The 17,112-nt window shown below is 37.5% G+C and overlaps 1 protein-coding gene across 6 annotated transcripts in view, besides 1 other annotated feature; it reads right to left on the bottom strand.

Moving 5' to 3' along the window:
* FMN2 (formin 2) overlaps nt 1-17,112 on the bottom strand; it is a 383,305-nt gene that overhangs the window by 203,003 nt on the left and 163,190 nt on the right. For all 6 annotated transcript variants that reach the window (NM_001305424.2, NM_020066.5, NM_001348094.2 and 3 more), the window contains one exon: nt 14,153-14,240. In NM_001305424.2, the coding sequence (NP_001292353.1) occupies nt 14,153-14,240 (88 nt within the window). The remainder of the gene's footprint in view (nt 1-14,152; nt 14,241-17,112) is intronic.
* Nucleotides 13,213-14,412: an enhancer, noted in NCBI's record as "CDK7 strongly-dependent group 2 enhancer chr1:240421073-240422272 (GRCh37/hg19 assembly coordinates)". NCBI's record gives its function as "activates an origin of replication core promoter dependent on BRD2, BRD4, P300/CBP, MED14 and CDK7 cofactors, with strong dependence on CDK7, by STARR-seq in HCT116 cells {active_cell/tissue: HCT116}" and the evidence as "EXISTENCE:reporter gene assay evidence [ECO:0000049][PMID:35650434]".

Raw genomic sequence — 17,112 nt, 5'->3', positions numbered from 1 at the left:
AGGCCTTGAGCTGCAGTGGGCTGTCTTCAGGCTCACAGAGTCACCCTCCTAGTGAGGGTCAAGAGGTTGGCCAAAACAAACAAACAAATAAACAAATACATGATTCTCAATTCAGACAGTAAGTACAATGAGGGAAAAGAATAACCATATGCAAAGCTCATGGCTTTGGTACAACCCCAAGTATTGCATTCTTTCTTCCCATAGAAGTATAATCAAAAAGTCCAACTATGGAACAATGTCATTAAAAATATAATCTAAGCTCAACCCAAGTTTTTTGCTGAACTTGTAGTAAAAGACATTATAATTCATTTGACCTTGATCTAATAATTTATGTGTGATTTCAAAAGACATATGAGGTATTTCTTTTTATAAAAAGCTCTAGGTAATGAACTTATATTTTAAATTAAAACAAATTCTCATATTAAATTTCTGAGAGTAGGTTTTTATGAAAGCCTAGTATCTCACATGTACTTTTCTCCACTACAAGGCTACAATTGATGAAAAGGTTACACAGGCTCACTGGAGCCTACTTTCTTCTCAAATTTCTAATTCTCAATGACTTTACATTTCAATGAAAACCATTCACTAAACCTCCCAACAGCATTTAGTACATTTTTAATGTCTCAATAAATATAATAAACAGGTCTTAAAATTCTATATCCCATGTGAGGAAAACACTTTAAAAAAAAAGGTTTAAAAAAATGGGGGCATGAAGCAATTTCTAAGCAAGCCTTATAAGCTTGAGTTTCATTAAAAAAAAAAAAAAATCAGACACTGAAAAGCCTAGTGGGGAAAAACAACATTGCTCACACTGAGCCTAATTTTTGAGACTATTACAAAAATAAACAAATGATGATGAATGAACTTTCTTATGGTAATTAATAGGGAAGCGAAAAAGCCTGTGTCTCCAAGAATGAAGCCAGACTCTATGAAAAGGACCTGGAGTTTGTAATGTACAACTTGTTCCATAGGAAATTTCATAAGAAAACCATGATTCAGTGGCAACCCCAACAGGATAAAAGAAGTGCAAATGTGTAGGCTATCCAAATACATGCAAACAGAGTCACAAAAAAAAAAAAAAAAAAACCATCGTGGAAAGTTCCTAGGGGGGTCAAAGGGTTATTTGCAGATTTTTAAAGAAGTGTTCTTGTGCTTTAATTATTTATTTAACATATCCATCATCTCAAATATTTTAAACCCTCTTGTTTAGCTATTTTGAAATATACAATACATTATTATTAACCATAGTCACCATGCTGTGCAATAGACCAGCAGGACTTATTCCTCCTATCTAAATGAGACTTTGTACCCACTGACCAAGTCTCCCCTTTCCCCATCCATCCTGTCCCCTCAGCCTCTAGTAACCACCACTCTACTTTCTACCTCTATTACTTTGACTTTTTTAGATTCCACATATAAATGTGATCGTAGAGATTTTGTCTCTCTGTCCCTGGCTTATTTCACTTAACATAATGTCTTCTAGGTTTGTCCATGTTGTTACAAATGACAGAATTACCTAGTTTTTTAATTGTATTTCATTGTGTATATATATATTATATATTTTAATGCAATCATCTGTTGATGGACACTTAGGTTGTTTCCATTTCATGGCTCTTGTGAATAATAATACAATTAGCTTTGTGCTGTGGCAGTTATCAAAGCCAATGAGGTGCTGTTGCAGTACTACTGAAGCCAATGAGGTTTATCCGAGGTGTGATTATTGGTAATAATGCTGCAATGAACATAGAAGTATAGACATCTCTTAGACATACTGAAGTCATTCCCTTTGGGTATATACCCAGTAGTGAAATTGCTGGATGATGTGGAAATTCTATTGTTATTTTTTGAGAAATCTTCACACTGTTTTCCACAATGGCTATATTAACTTACATTCCACCAACAGTATGGAAGAGTTCTCTTTTCCCCACATCCTTGGCAAACTCGTTTCATGATAAAAACTCCCAACAAATTGGGTATAGACAGAATGTTTCTTAATATGATAAAGGCCATATATGATAAGCCAAGAGCTAACAGGATACTCAATGGTGAAAAGTTGAAAGCTTTTCTTCTAAGATCAGAAACAAGACAAGGACGCCTACTCTCACCACATCTGTTCAACATAGTACTGGACATCCTAGCCAGAGCAATTAGGCAAGAAAAATAAATAAAAGGCATTCAGATAGAAAAGGATGAAATGAAATTGCCTCTGCTTGCTGATGACATAATCTTGTATATAGAAAATCCTACAGACTCTATCAAAAAACTGTTAGAACTGATAAATTCAATTAAGTTGCAGGATACAAAAGTCGACCTATAAAAATCAGAAGCATTTCTATACACTAACAACAGTCTGAAAAAGAAAAAAGAAAACAGTTCCATTTATAATAGCATCAAAAAATACTTAGGAGAAAATTTAACCAAGGAAATGAAAAATCTGTACACTGAAAACAATAAAACATTGATGAAAAAAATTGAAGACGACATAAATAAATGGAAAGATATGCTGTGTTTATGGATTGGAAGACTCAATATTGTTAAAATGGCCATACTACCTAAAGCAATCTACAGATTCAATGTAATCCCAATCAAAATTCCAGTGTCATTCTTCACAGAAATAGAAAAAATAATCCTAAAATTTATTTGAAACCACAAAAAAAACCAAATAGCCAAAGTAATCTTGATCAAAAAGGACAAAACCAGAGAAATCACACAACCAGATTTGAAAATATATTACAAAGCTATAGTAATCAAAACAGTATGGTGGTGGCATAAAAATAGACACATCGTCCAGTGGAATAGAATGGAGTGTCCAGAAATAAACCCAGCTAACTACAGTCAATTGATTTGCAACAAAGGTGTCAAGAACACAGAATGGGGAAAGGACAGCCTATTTAATAAAAGGTGTTATTAAAACTGTACATCTATATATACACAAAAATGAAAATAGATCCTTATTTCATCCTTCATAAAAGAATAAACTCAAAAGGAATTAAAGACTTAAAACTATAAAACTACTCGAAGAAAACACAGGGGTTAGGAAAGGTTCCATGACATTGGTCAGGGCAATTATTTCTCGGATATGACCCAAAAGCACAGGCAATGAAAGTAGAAAATAGACAAATGGGATGGCATCAAATCAAAATGCTTCTGCACACAAACAAAACAATAGAGTGCAGAGACAACCACAAATTGGGAGAAAATATTTGCAAATCATGCACTGAATAGGGGCTAATATCTAATATATTTATATGTCTAAATATATAACAAACTACTCAATAACAGAAAGGCAAATAACCCTATTGAAAATGGGCAAAGGATCTGAACAGACATTTCTCAGAAGAAGACATACAAATGGCCAACTGATAAATGAAAAAATGCTCTACATCACTAATCAGAGAAATGTAAATTAAAACCAAAATGAGATACTATCTCACACCTGTTAGAATGGCCATCAGCAAAAAAAGATGAAAGTGTTCTTATACTTTATATTCATAGCTAGAAACTAGTTTAACTATCAGGAAAAATAAAATGTCAAAGCAAGAAATAAAAGCATCTGTCTATGTCTCTACTTAGATTCTACTCATGGCCCACACCAATATTCATTTCCCCAACAAAGCTAAACTTCTTCCCCCACTACCTTCACATGCTTTACAGAGCCAACAGTAATTAATATAGAATATGGCTGACTCTCACAGCACAGAGACAATGTTTAAGAAGCCACACAGTTAGGGGAGATTTTAGCCTTTCAAGTTTCCAAAACAAGTTGTCCTCCTTGCAGATAAAACAGTCCAAACATGTAGTCATGCTCAACTTCTAAGAGCTGTTAGATAATTCTCATACTTATCTGTACTCAAAAATCAGAAATGGGTACAGCCCAGTATTAAAAAGCATTTCAGCTAGTTTACTGAAAACTGACGGAAAAATAAAAGCCAAACTACAAAACAATCAAATCTGCCTCAGACATGTTCCCCTTGAACTTAACTCCCATTTCTTCCCTCTTATCTCACTCCCAACTCAATCAGAAGTAACAGTTCCTTTTAGATATATACCCAGTAATGAGATCACTGGGTCTAATGAGAGTTGTGTTTTACGTTTTTTTCAGAAATCCCCACACTGTTCTCCACAGTGGCTGAACTAATTTATACCCCTGCCAACAGTATATAAGTGTTCCCTCTTCTCACAGCCTCGCTAGTATCTGTTGCTCTGACTGGTGTAAAATGGTATCTCATAATGATTTGGATTTGCATTTCTCTGATGATTAGTGGTGTAGAACATTTTTTCGTATGTTTGTTGGCCACTTGTATGTCTTCTTTTGAGAAGTGTGTGTTCACACCTTTTACCCATCTTTAAAAATTAGTCTTTATTAAATGTATGTATAGCTCACATTTACTTCAGTGTTTAATATTATAAGTGTTTGGGGTCTTTATTTAAAAGTGACCAGAAATATGCCATATGAACTTAACTCTTGTTTATATCAATTAGCCTATAGCAAAATTCATTTTGTTATATGTTGTTTTAATTAAAGTTGCAGGTCTCTTTTTTTTTTTTTTTTAAGTTCAGGGGTACAAGTGCAGGTTTGCTACATAGGTAAACTTGTGTCATGAGGGTTTGTTGTGCAGATTATTTCATCACCCAGGTATTAAGCCTAGTACCCATTAGTTATTTTTCCCGATCCTCTCCCTCCTCTCACCCTCCACTCTCTGAAAGACCCCAGTGTGTTTTGTTCTCCTCTATGTGTCCACGTGTTCTCGTCATTAAGCTCCCACTTTTAAGTGAGAACATGCGGTATTTGGTTTTCTTTTCCTGTGTTAGTTTGCTAAGGATAATGGCCTCCAGCTCCATTCATGTCCCTGCAAAGGACATGATCTCATTTTTTTTTATGGCTTCATCTTTTGACCATTTTTTTCATGAGGCTATTTATTTTTTGCTTGTTGAATTGTTTAAGTTTCTTGTATTAGTAGGTGCTGGATAAAAGACCTTTGTGGAATGTATAGTTTGCAAATATTTTCTCCCATCCTGTAGGTTGTCCGTTTACTCTGTGGAGAGTTTCTCGTGCTGTGCAGAAGCTCTTTAGTTTAATTAGGTTCCACTTGTCAATTTTTGTTCCTGCTGCAATTACTTTTGAGGACTTAGTCATAAATTATTTGCCAAAGCCAATATCCCGAATGGTATTTCCTAGGTTTTCTTGTACGACTCTTACAGTTTGAGGTCTTACATTTAACTCTTTAATCCATCTTGAGTTAATTTTTATATGTGATGAAGGTTTTTTGGGGGTCCAGTTTCATTCTTCTACAAATGGTTGGCCATCTAGCACCATTTATTAAATAGGGAGTCCTTTCCCCATTGCTTATTTTTATTGATTTTATTGAAGATTGGATGACTGTAGATGTGTGGCTTTATTTTTGGATTCTCTATTCTTCTCCATAGGTCTATGTGTCTTTTTGTACCAGTACCATGCTGTTTTGGTCTCTGTAATAATAAATTGTTCTACCAAAAAGACACATGCACTCATATGTTCATCACAGCACTATACACAATAGCAAAGATTTAGAATCAACCTAGGTGTGCATCAATGGTGGCCTGGATAAGGAAAACATGGTACATATATACCACGGAACATTACACAGCCAAAAAACAAACAAAATCATGTCCTTTGCAGTAACATGGATGCAGCTGGAGGCTATGTAAGTGAATTAAGGCAGGAACAGAAAAGCAAACACCACATGGAAAAGACCTATGGAAAAGAATAGAGAATCCAAAAATAAAAATAAAGCCACACATCTACCGTCATCCAATCTTCAATAAAAATAAGCAATGGGGAAAGGACTCCCTATTTAATAAATGGTGCTAGGTGGCTACCCATTTGTAGAAGAATGAAACTGGACCCCCCCAAAAACCTTCACCACTAGCTCTAACTTATAACTGGGAGCTAAACATTGGGTACACATGGACATAAAGATGGCAACAATAGACACTGGGGACTCCTAGATGGGGGAGAAAGGGACAAAGATTGAAAAACTAACTATTGAGTACTCTTCTTAGTACCTGGGTGAGAGGATCAATCAAACCCAAAACCTTAGCATCATGCAATATACCCAGATAACAAACCTACACATGTACCCCTGAATCAAAAATAATAGTTGATTTATTAAAAAAAAAAAAAAGGAAGTAACAGATTCTGGATTCTACACCCTCCTTTTGTCCCATGGACAAAGACTTATCACAGAGTCTGTTCAGGGCAATGAAAAAAGGAAAAAAAAAAAAAAACAAACCCCTTTAAGTTATCTCTCTTACTGGTTGCCCTAAGTTTCAAACACCTCCAAAGCCTACAGACATAGGTCATTTCCTAAGAAACACACGAAGGAAACTAACATTGATTAAGTGCTTAATATGGGTGCAGGTGTGTGTACAATCAGAACTCAATAGCCTTTTGAACTAATGAGAAAACTGAGGACTAGAGATATAAAGTAATTTGCCCAGGTTTATTCAGCCAGCCAGTGGCAGAGCTGAGATTCAAATCTGTCTTGGACAGCTTGGGCTGCCATAGCAAAATATGACAAACTGGGGTGCTTAAACAGAAATATATTTTCTCATAATTCTGAAAGCTGGGAAGTCTAAGATCAAGGTGCCAGCTGACTCAGTCACTGGTGAGAACTCTCTTACAATAATAAGCATTTGTGTATTGAAACATATCTAAACCTAGAAAAAGTAATGTGATACACTACAAACTAGCTTGGTGATAGCAATTTTTCAACCCCATTATAATGTTATGGGACCACCATCACATACATGGTCTGTTGTTGACCAAAATGTTGTTATGTGGCATATAAGTGTATTTCATTCTTTGCTTGGTTCAATCAAGAGCAAGGAACTCTGTTAATAATTTTGTTAAAAGAATTTTATCCTCATTTAATTCACAGATGTGAAAAAATTTCATAGTCAATATGCAAACTGCAAAATTTGTATTATATGACACATAATAAATGAAGTCTGATAAATTTATTTTCAACTGTAAAAATGAAACAACTGGTAGCCAAAAGTAGTATGCCTGTTTGCCAGTTTTATTTTTGCATATGTTGCGCATTCTGATTTTATTAGGTAACACATGCTTCATTCAGTAACAAGCTAACACACTGCCCAGAGCAGAGAGCCCTGAGCTAGGACTCAAAAAAATTGGATGCCCATTCTGGCCCTATGGAGATAAAGAACTAGGCAGACTCCATCTATAAACCTGAATTCCCCCTACTATAAAGTGGGAATTAACTCCCCTCTTCTGGACAATTTTACACAACTATCACCAATAATATCAGAGGGAAGGAGGCGGAAGAAGCAAAGTTCAAACCAATAGCTAATTCCATCTCTTCAAATACTAATAAAAAGATATGATTATAAAAGATCTTAGAACAGGTAACCTGTTAAAGAAAACGTGGCACATATACACCATGGAATACTATGCAGCCATAAAAAAGAATAAGTTCATGTCATTTGCAGGGATATAGGTGAAACTGGAAACCATCATTCTCAGCAAACTAACACAGGAACAGACAACTGAACACCACATGTTCTCACTCATAAGTGGGAGTTGAACAATGAGAACATATGGATACAAGGAGGGGAACATCACACACCAAGACCTGTCAGGGGGTAGGGGGCAAAGGGAGGGATAGTATTAGGAGAAACAGCTAATGTAGATGACAGATTGATGGGTGCAACAAACCACCATGGCATGTATATACCTATGTAGCAAATCTGCACATTCTGCACATGTACCCTAGAACTTAAAGTATAATAAAAAAATAAAAATAAATAAACAAATTTAAAAAAGAATATGTATCCTGTATGCCAATACCGGTTCTCTTTTTGGTACCTGCTACATTAGGACAATTTCTTCCCAAACAATTATCAGAATAAGGCTTCTCAGCTTTGGACCCTTTTGAGGGAGGACAATGGCAGACCAAAACAGCAGCAACATGACATGATTCCAATGAGAAGTCATAATTAACACTGAGATCTCACTGGCATTTCTAATTGAAATCTAAGAGCCTGTGCATTGTCCTTGTAAGGTACCCTTAACTATATAATTTAAATAAACTGTTTGGGAAAGCAATCATTAGGCTCAGAAATTAAAACATAAAAATAACTACAATTTTATTGACTGTATCAACTGTACTTCTGATGGAATGCTAGGTAGTTTACATTATTATCTCATTAAATTTTAAGATATATGATTTTCATAAATCATGTTTAAACAGGATAGAAATTTCAGCAAGGAGGTAACATAGCATTTACTGCCAAGGGCCCATAATTCCAGTTAGCTTTAGACAGGACATATATAAAAGACAGGAAGGAATCAGAGCCATTCATACCCTGGGCTGGGTATCCCTGCAGTATATTGAAACGTGTTTCCGTAAGTTTAACGTGTCAGACTACTAAATAGATATTAGGTATTCCTTGTGATGAGATCTGTAATCTATTTTCAAATATTTTTGCAGAGGGAGTGTCTAAGAGACCACACCTCAGGGATGGCTGACCAGCACTACGCAAGAAAGGCCATTCTCCAGAGGCAGTTAACGCAAGCTGCTCAGCTATCTCTATCTAAATCAACAACCGAGGCTTTAATACGCATACTAATGTCTGAAATGGGCTTTCAATGGTGAAATTAAAGTCATTCTGGATGTGTGGATTAGTTGCAATCTCTTAGAGATGCTCCACTCCTACCTCTTCCATAGCTAGAATAAGAGTCTACTGGGGGCTAATAGCTTTGTTCTTTAAGGAGGCTGCCTGAGGCCTAGGACCTAAACAGTACTGGGTGCAGCCACTGGCTGAGTTGACTTTCTAGATGTCTCGTGCAGACTATGAGGGTAGCAGATTCCTACATCTGTGCCAAGCTTATATCTGTCTGAAGCAAACCTTTCAGATAGATCACAGTGAGAGCCCCTATAAAGACAGAGAGGTAAACAACCTCAAGTTTATGAAGCAGGGTTTTCAAACTATTTTGCTTGAGATGGCCAGGAAATACCAGTGTAATATATATCTGTGTGTGGGGGAGGGTTCAGTCTGAAACTTGCTTCAGTTCGATCTGGTAGTAGGGTGACAATACTACTAGCTTATCTGAAAAGTTCTTGGGGATGGGTGAGGTGGCTCACGCCTGTAATCCCAGCACTTTGGGAGGCTGAGGCGGGTGGATCACTTGAGGTCAGGAGTTTGAGACTAGCCTGGCCAACATGGTGAAACCCTGTCTCTACTAAAAACACAAATTAGCTGGGCGTGGTGGCAGGTGGCTGTAATCCCAGCTACTCGGGGGGCTGAGGGATAAGAATTGCTTGAACCTGGGAGGCGGAGATTGTAGTGAGCTGAGATTGCGCCACTGAACTATGCCTGGATGACAGAGTGAGACTCTGTCTCAAAAAAAAAAAAAAAAAAAAGTAAAAGTTTTCACTTTACATTTGTTATCCAGGCAATATTATCAATGACATCCCCTTCTACTCTTAAAGCATCCCAGTTAGTATTTCTATCTAACCGTGACATTGTTGGGGGATAAAGCTGAAGCTTATGGAATTGCAAATTCTTTTGCAGCTACTGTTATCTATGAAAATGGACCTAAGATCTGTGAAGAGCACACTGACCCCTGAAATACAGACCAAACATTGTATAAAATATTTAATCAATTTTCACAGAAGTGAACTACCACTATGAAGCTGTAGGATACTCTTATAATATCAATTTATGGGAATAACAGGCCAAAATTATTTGAAATCAATCCCCCCACTAACAACAACTAAAAATGCTGAGTAAAACATGTTTGTAAAATATCATAAGGACGTCAAAGAGCTGACAAGATATAATTACCATGCTAAACAAAATGAAGAGCGAACTCAGAGAAGTGATCCAGCTCACAAACTGCTTTTGCCCTGAGTGTATTTGCCTATCCTAACAAATGTCAACTTTCTCTTGACAGTTTCACGGTGGGAGGGGCCAAATATCAAAGCCCAGAACCCACTCATCATAGAGATCCTAGACATACCCCACAATGAAATGGGACTCAAAGGACTATACTGGTTGTGCACATGTACCCTAGAACTTAAAGTATAATAATAATTAAAAAAAAGGGCTATACTGGCAGGGGAACCAACCCATTCAGTGGACAAACAGCACTGGCTGAAGGGACCCTCCTACAGCCCCCAGAGTGTGATTCAAGGTGTTCCTAAATCCACAGGGCCCCCAGACCCTAGCACACACACAAAAAGGGTAAATCTTCTCTGGAAGGCACTTTCATCTCAGACTTCAAATTACTATAAACCACAGGGTGAGATTTTTTCAGAGGTATTATAACTGTAGGCCAGTTTGAACATTACCAAATAGCCAGCAGCTCAGGCCTTCATTATAACTTTTATATACTAACACACACACAGGTAATTATTTGGGGATGCCCCCTTATATTTGCCGCATTAATAAACTTAGGAACCTGACCTCTTCTCTCCTCTCTGCCTTTTGAATGTATGTGTTGCTGAGAATGCTCCACATCTATTATTGTGGGAAATAACCTGTATTCAAATAACAGACTGAGCAAGTGGTGCTCAGCAGGACCAGGGTTAGAACTTTGATACCTAGAATCCAAACCTTACACACTAATTACTCTAATGGAGCACTTTGAAATATAAACATTACAAAGTAAATGAAAACCTAGAGTACTGACAGCAAAGAAGGAGAGAAAATGATTCTTGCTGTTTATTACAATATTACATATACTTTGTTTTAGATAAACCAATGCTGGTGGTAAAAAAAAAAAGCACAATCTTGGAGAAGCAGCATGTCTGAATGAAAAAAAAAAAAGTACTGGTTAATGAAGGGGCCTGAGTGCAAGTTCAATCCATTTCATTAATGAGCTGCGTGATACTGAGAGGGTAACTGGACCACTCACAGGTCTTATTTTGCCTATCGATAAAAATGCCACATAGCCAAAGAAAGACTAAGCAAAAAGAACAGATCTGGAAGCATCACATTATCTGACTTCAAACTATACTATAAGGCCATAGTCACCAAAACAGCATGGTACTGGTATAAAAATAGACACACAGAACAATGAAACAGAACAGACAACCCAGAAATAAAGTGAAATACTTACAGCCAACTGATCTTTGACAAAGCAAACAAAAACATAAAGTGAGGAAGGGACACTTTATTCAACAAATGCTGCTGGGATAATTGGCAAGACACTGTAGGAGAATGAAACTGGATCCTCATCTCTCACATTATACAAAAATCAATTCAAGATGGGTCAAGGACTTAAACCTAAGACCTGAAACTATAAAAATTCTAGAAGATAACTTTGGGAAAACCCTTCTAGACATTGGCTTAAGCAAAGACTTCATGACCAAGAACCCAAAGCAAATGCTACGAAAACAAAGATAAATAGCTGGGACTTAATTAAACTAAAGAGCTTCCGCGTGTCAAAAGGAATAGTCAGCAGAGTAAACAGACAACCCACAGAGTGGGAGAAAGTCTTCACAATCTATACATCTGACAGAGGACCAATATCCAGAATCTACAAGGAACACAAACAAATTAGCAAGAAGAAAACAAACAATTCCATCAAAAAGTGGGCTAAGGATATAAATAGACAATTCTCAAAAGAAGATATACAAATGGCCAACAAACATGAAAAAATGCTCAGCATCACTAATGATCAGGGAAATGCAAATCAAAACCACAATGTGATACCACCTTACTCCTGCAAGAATGGCCACATTAAAAAAAAATAAAAAAATAATAGATGTTGGCATGGATGCAGTGAAACGGGAACATTTCTACACTGCTGGTGGGAATGTAAACCAGTACAACCACTATGGAAAACAGTGTGGAGATTCCTTAAATAACTAAAAGTAGAACTGCCATTGGATCCAGCAATCCCACTACTGGATATCTACCCAGAGGAAAAGAAGCCATTGTACGAAAAAGATACTTGTACGTGCATGTTTATAGCAGCACAATTCACAATTGCAAAAATATGGAACCAGCCTAAATGCCCATCAATCAACGAGTAGATAAAGAATTGTGGCATATTCCATATGATGAAATAATACTCAGCTATAAAAAGGAACGAATTAATGGCATTCACAGCAACCTAGATGGAACTGGGGACTATTATTCTAAGTGAAGTAACTCAGGAATGGAAAACCAAACATTGTATGTTCTCACATTCATAAGTGAGAGCTAAGCTATGAGGATGCAAAGGCATAAAAAGTGATACAATGGACTTTGGGGACTTGGTGGAAGGGTGGGAGGGGGTGAGGAATAAAAGACTACAAATTGGGTTCAGTGTATACTGCTTGGGTGATGTGTGCACCAAAATCTCAGATCACCACTAAAGAACTTACTCATGTAACCAAATACCACCTGTTCCCCAAAAACCTATGGAAATAAAAAGTATTTTTTAAAAATGACGCTGGAGGTCTAGATAAATTCTGTGGCCACTTCTATATCCAAAATCAATGATGTTTATGCTTCTGTGGACTTCTCAGTGGAGGCATATCCTGAGAGAAGTCAAGTTTGCTCTAGAGGACACAAGCGATTCACACATGTAAATCCTGTTTGCAGACAATACACCAAGGCAGAATAGGACTTTACCTGCAGGAGGGCACAACCTCTTGCTGCTTTAGACTTGGAAGGCCACCATATTAAAAAAAAAAAAAAAAAAGTGTACAGGGTTTCAAAGGGACTAAAGCAATCACTTCACATCCTAATGGGATAAAGTTTCTGCATGATTCTGTATGACCCTTCAACTACTGCCTTTCATGCCATGTTATTGCTAGCGTTGCATGTTAAAGCAAGCAAATTTTCAATGAACTCTCACTGGCTTTACCACAGACACAGATGTCAGGCGGACTCTTGTTCATAAGGTTCTCATTATCAACTCAACCCGAGTTGAATATTTGACTGAAGGAAAGAACCATATCATTATTTTCAGATTTCATCCTATGACTTAACTGGGCTACATCTGCCAGCTTTAGAAACACCAAGTACTGCCTGGCGCCAGCCTTGGCTTTCTCTTCTATGACTATTACCCCAAATGTTTCAGCTTGAGGAAGTCTCCTCCCCATCAAAACAATTTAATAAAAACTTAAATTGTGATTAAGAGTTACTCATCAATTGACAGGGCATACCAAGCTTGTGCTATTTATGAATTATCCCACACAAGATTTTAAGCCCAACAAATAGAATCCACATTCATAAAGGGGTAAGCTAGAAAGCCAGTTAAATGCTTTTGTGATTATAAGGTCTGTGTTATTCTTGAAACCATATTTCTTTAATAGGTAAACTGGCATTCCATTGGATAATTCAATCTGCTTTAAATCTATTCTTAGGTTCTAGTCAGCTTAAGGGACACTCTGAATTTACACTTCATTACTCTATTCACCTTTGGGCAGTATCTCTCAGCATAAATATCATAGGAGGATATGGCATAAGAATGGCCGTCAATTGTACAGTAGAATCCAAGTATTAAAATATTGACACTAAAGCCATTTATAAAATGTTAAGAACCACTCTAATTCCAAACAGAAAATATTTCTGTTCATATGTTGCAAACCTCACTCCCATGTGAAGGTACAAGGAGACAGGATCCTAGGTGGTGGTCACTAGGTCGCGTGGTCATTAGGTCACAAGGGTAGAATTCTCGTGCGTGGGATCAGTCCCCTTATAAAACAGACACAAGAGAGCTCTCTTTCCTTCTTTCTGCCAATTGAGGATACATGGAGAAGATGGCAGTCTGCAACCTGAAAGACGGCCCTCACCAGAACCGAATATGCTGGCACCCTGATCTCGAACTTTCAGCCTCCTAGAACTGTGAGAAATAAATTTCTCTTATTTATCACCCACCAGTCTGGGGTACTTGGTTATAGTAGCCTGAACTAAGATAATAATGTCACATGATAATTAGACTGTTAGTAAGGTATATAAATAACACCACAGGCAAATTAATAGTAATCCTTCCAGAAACAATCATGGGAGATAGCTTGATCACACTTACGGGATATATACTAACCTCGGTTTACACAGAAACTCTAAGTTTGAAATAACATTACCAACAAACATCATATCCCTCAGCCCAAATTTTAATATTCAGAAGCTAAATTTTCATTTTGACACTTACCATGTTGTATGTCTTTCATATCTAAATGAAGGCTAGACATTAGTATTCCAACTGCTTGTGATCTTTTGTTGCTTAATAACTTGACAACCTGCTCGAGAAAGAAAGTAAAAGGGGAAAATGTTAATTTGAACTCCAATATGCTTACTAGCATTTTAAAAAATCCTAAATGAAGAACAAATTCAGAGAAAAGATCTCACGTCATTACCTAAAGTATTCAAAACAGTGTTTTTTTTAATGTTTGAAGAGAGCTTTTGGGTTTTATATCATAAATCTTCAAAATCCACCATTTTCCCCCATTATTCACCATCAGCCTCAAAGACATGTTTTTTAACCAGTCTTTTGAGAGCCTGATCTGTCAACAAGTAAAATTTCTAATGGTCTAGGAAATTAGTCTGGTCTCTGTAAAATCACAATTACACATATGATCATTTGCAGCCTGAGATTTGAAGTGTTCTTTTTTCTTTCAATGTGGAGCCTTGACACACTGAAACTTCAAACACGTCAGCAAGTGAAGCGCAAAATAAAAGTACACACATAGAGAATCTGCTAGATTAGTTTGGTTGTGTCATGAAAAATTTTTTTAAAAAAGTGCTTTCACTTGGGTCACATAGAAAGCTCACTATTTTACTGGAAGTTCCTCTCATTCTGCATTTGACCCACATTTTGGGGAGAACTTTCCTACTAATTAACAGAGGGATACAAGCATCAAATTAAAAGGGCTGCATCAGCACAATCTCAAGTCTGGATTTCCAGCAAGTCTTAAAGAATCAGGGCACACGATCCCATGCGAAGGGTTCCTAAAACAGAGGTGGGAAGGCTGTTACAGAACAGATAGATATTTTTTGACCATGTTTTCCAGACAACAGCATCACCAGGAAATTCTGCTTATGAAACTTATCCCAGGCCTGATCGTGTGAGGGGCAGCATTTTCTATTTACTCCCAGTGTTTTGTTTTAAATCTGCTTAGAAAAACACTGGAGGAAAAGGAAAGAAAGTGGTTATAGTCAAATTACCAGAAGTGACAGCTGCTCTAACAGCTATTGCATCTTTGTACCCTGTCTTCCCTTATGGTTTAAGTTGGGTCAATCAGGATAGTAATAAAATAATCATACCCAACTGTTACACAAAGTCACAGAGTAAAACAATATTCTTAATAGCAATAATAGCACTCTGGGTGCCCCAGCACGGATGGGGGTGAGGAATAAAACATAACACTTTCAGAAGGACCAACCACGAAAACCACTCTGATCTTTTTTGTTGTCGTTGTTTGTTTGTTTGTTTTGAGATGGAGTCTCACTCTGTCACCCAGGAAGGAGTGCAGTGGCACGATCTCGGCTCACTGCAGCCTCCGCCTCCTGAGTTCAAGTGAGTCTCGTGACTCAGCCTCCTGAGTAGCTGGGATTACAGGTGCATGCCACCATGCCCAGCTATTTTTTTTTTTTTTTTTTGTATTTTTAGTGGAGACCGAGTTTCACCATGTTGGCCAGGAAGGTCTCGAACTCCTGACCTCAGGTGATCCACCCACCTCGGCCTCCCAAAGTGTTGAAATAACAGGCATAAACCACTGCTGCCTGGCCCTGCCCTGATCATTTCTGAAAGCCTCTTGGTAAGGCACGATATCTCCCAAAAGGCGCTGCTTTTGCAAAAGAAAAAGCAACATATACATTTTGATTCTAAATGTTAACTAAACATTTTTCTAAATTCCACCTAGAAAGATGAGGTTAAAACTAGAATATGGGCCTATTAGTACAGCAAAGTATTTCTATCCATAGCATTGTCCTCTTAAGAGCTTAAAAAGTAGGAATTTAATATCAGAGAAGCAGAAGGTGTATACTCTGTCCTGAAAACCAGTTTGTAACCACAAGTCAGTGCAATCCGGGCTGAATCATGCTGCTTGATGAAAATGCTTTTATCAAGGTTTTCTATCATCTTCTGGTTTCTCAATGCAATAGGCATGTTTCAATCCATCTATCATTCGACCTCCCTATAGTATTGACATGTTGATCACACCCTTGTAGTAACTTCTCTTCCAGGGCTCCTAACATTTCTTCTCAGTTCTTTTGAAGATGAATTATTCTGATTTCACCTTAAATATTTGCGTATCCTAGAGTTCTGTTCTCTATATCTTATTTTCGTCGCATTATAACCTATTCTCATCACATTATAACCTATAATTTCTCCTGTAGAGACATACATGTCTGCATCTTCAACTTGGCAGTCTCCTACTTCGTGAAAAGACATCTCTATTTAAATTGTCCCCATAATCTCCATTTGACATGTCTAAAATGACACACATATCAGTTCCACCCCAACACCACCAGCCAGCTTCTTCTCCTTTATGCTATATATTGAGATAAAGGTACCACTATTCTTCATCCACCTACCAATGTTAGGAATCTAGAAACCAGTCAAGACTCCTACCTCCCCTTCACCTGCATACTCTGGTCTGGTATCAAGTCCTGCCAATTACAGCTGCTCTGTATTTGCGGAAACCACCCCTCCTCCTTAACTCTATTTTCAGCATTTAGTTCTATACTTTATCTTACATAGATAAATGCAAAAGATTTCTGATTGATCTCCCAAACTCTAGTCCAGTGGTTCTCAAAGTGTGTTCCTTGGACAAATGGGCACCATCATCACCTGGGAAGTTATCAAAAATCCAAGGAAAAGTTAGAGGGGAGTTTCAAGATGGCTGACTAGAGGCACCTGGTACTCGCCTCCTCCACAAACAAGAACTGAAATAGTGAGTAGATATCACAGGTCAAACAGATCACATAAGAGAGAACATTGGAATTCAAGAAATAAGTGACAGGTAACATGGGAGGCAAAGAAGAAGAGGGAAGTGGGGCAGTCTGCTCAGCCAGGATCGGCTGGGAGCTAGAGAGGTTCTCTAATGTGATTAAGGTTCTCCAGGCTCCCTCATGTGGTAAAGTTAAGTGAGCGACCCCAGCAGCCCACAT

The sequence above is a fragment of the Homo sapiens genome, chromosome 1, assembly GCF_000001405.40.
Source record: "Homo sapiens chromosome 1, GRCh38.p14 Primary Assembly".
In the NCBI taxonomy this organism is placed as follows: domain Eukaryota; kingdom Metazoa; phylum Chordata; class Mammalia; order Primates; family Hominidae; genus Homo; species Homo sapiens.
Note: the sequence above shows the minus strand (reverse complement) of the source record. Positions and strands in the feature narration are given on the sequence as shown.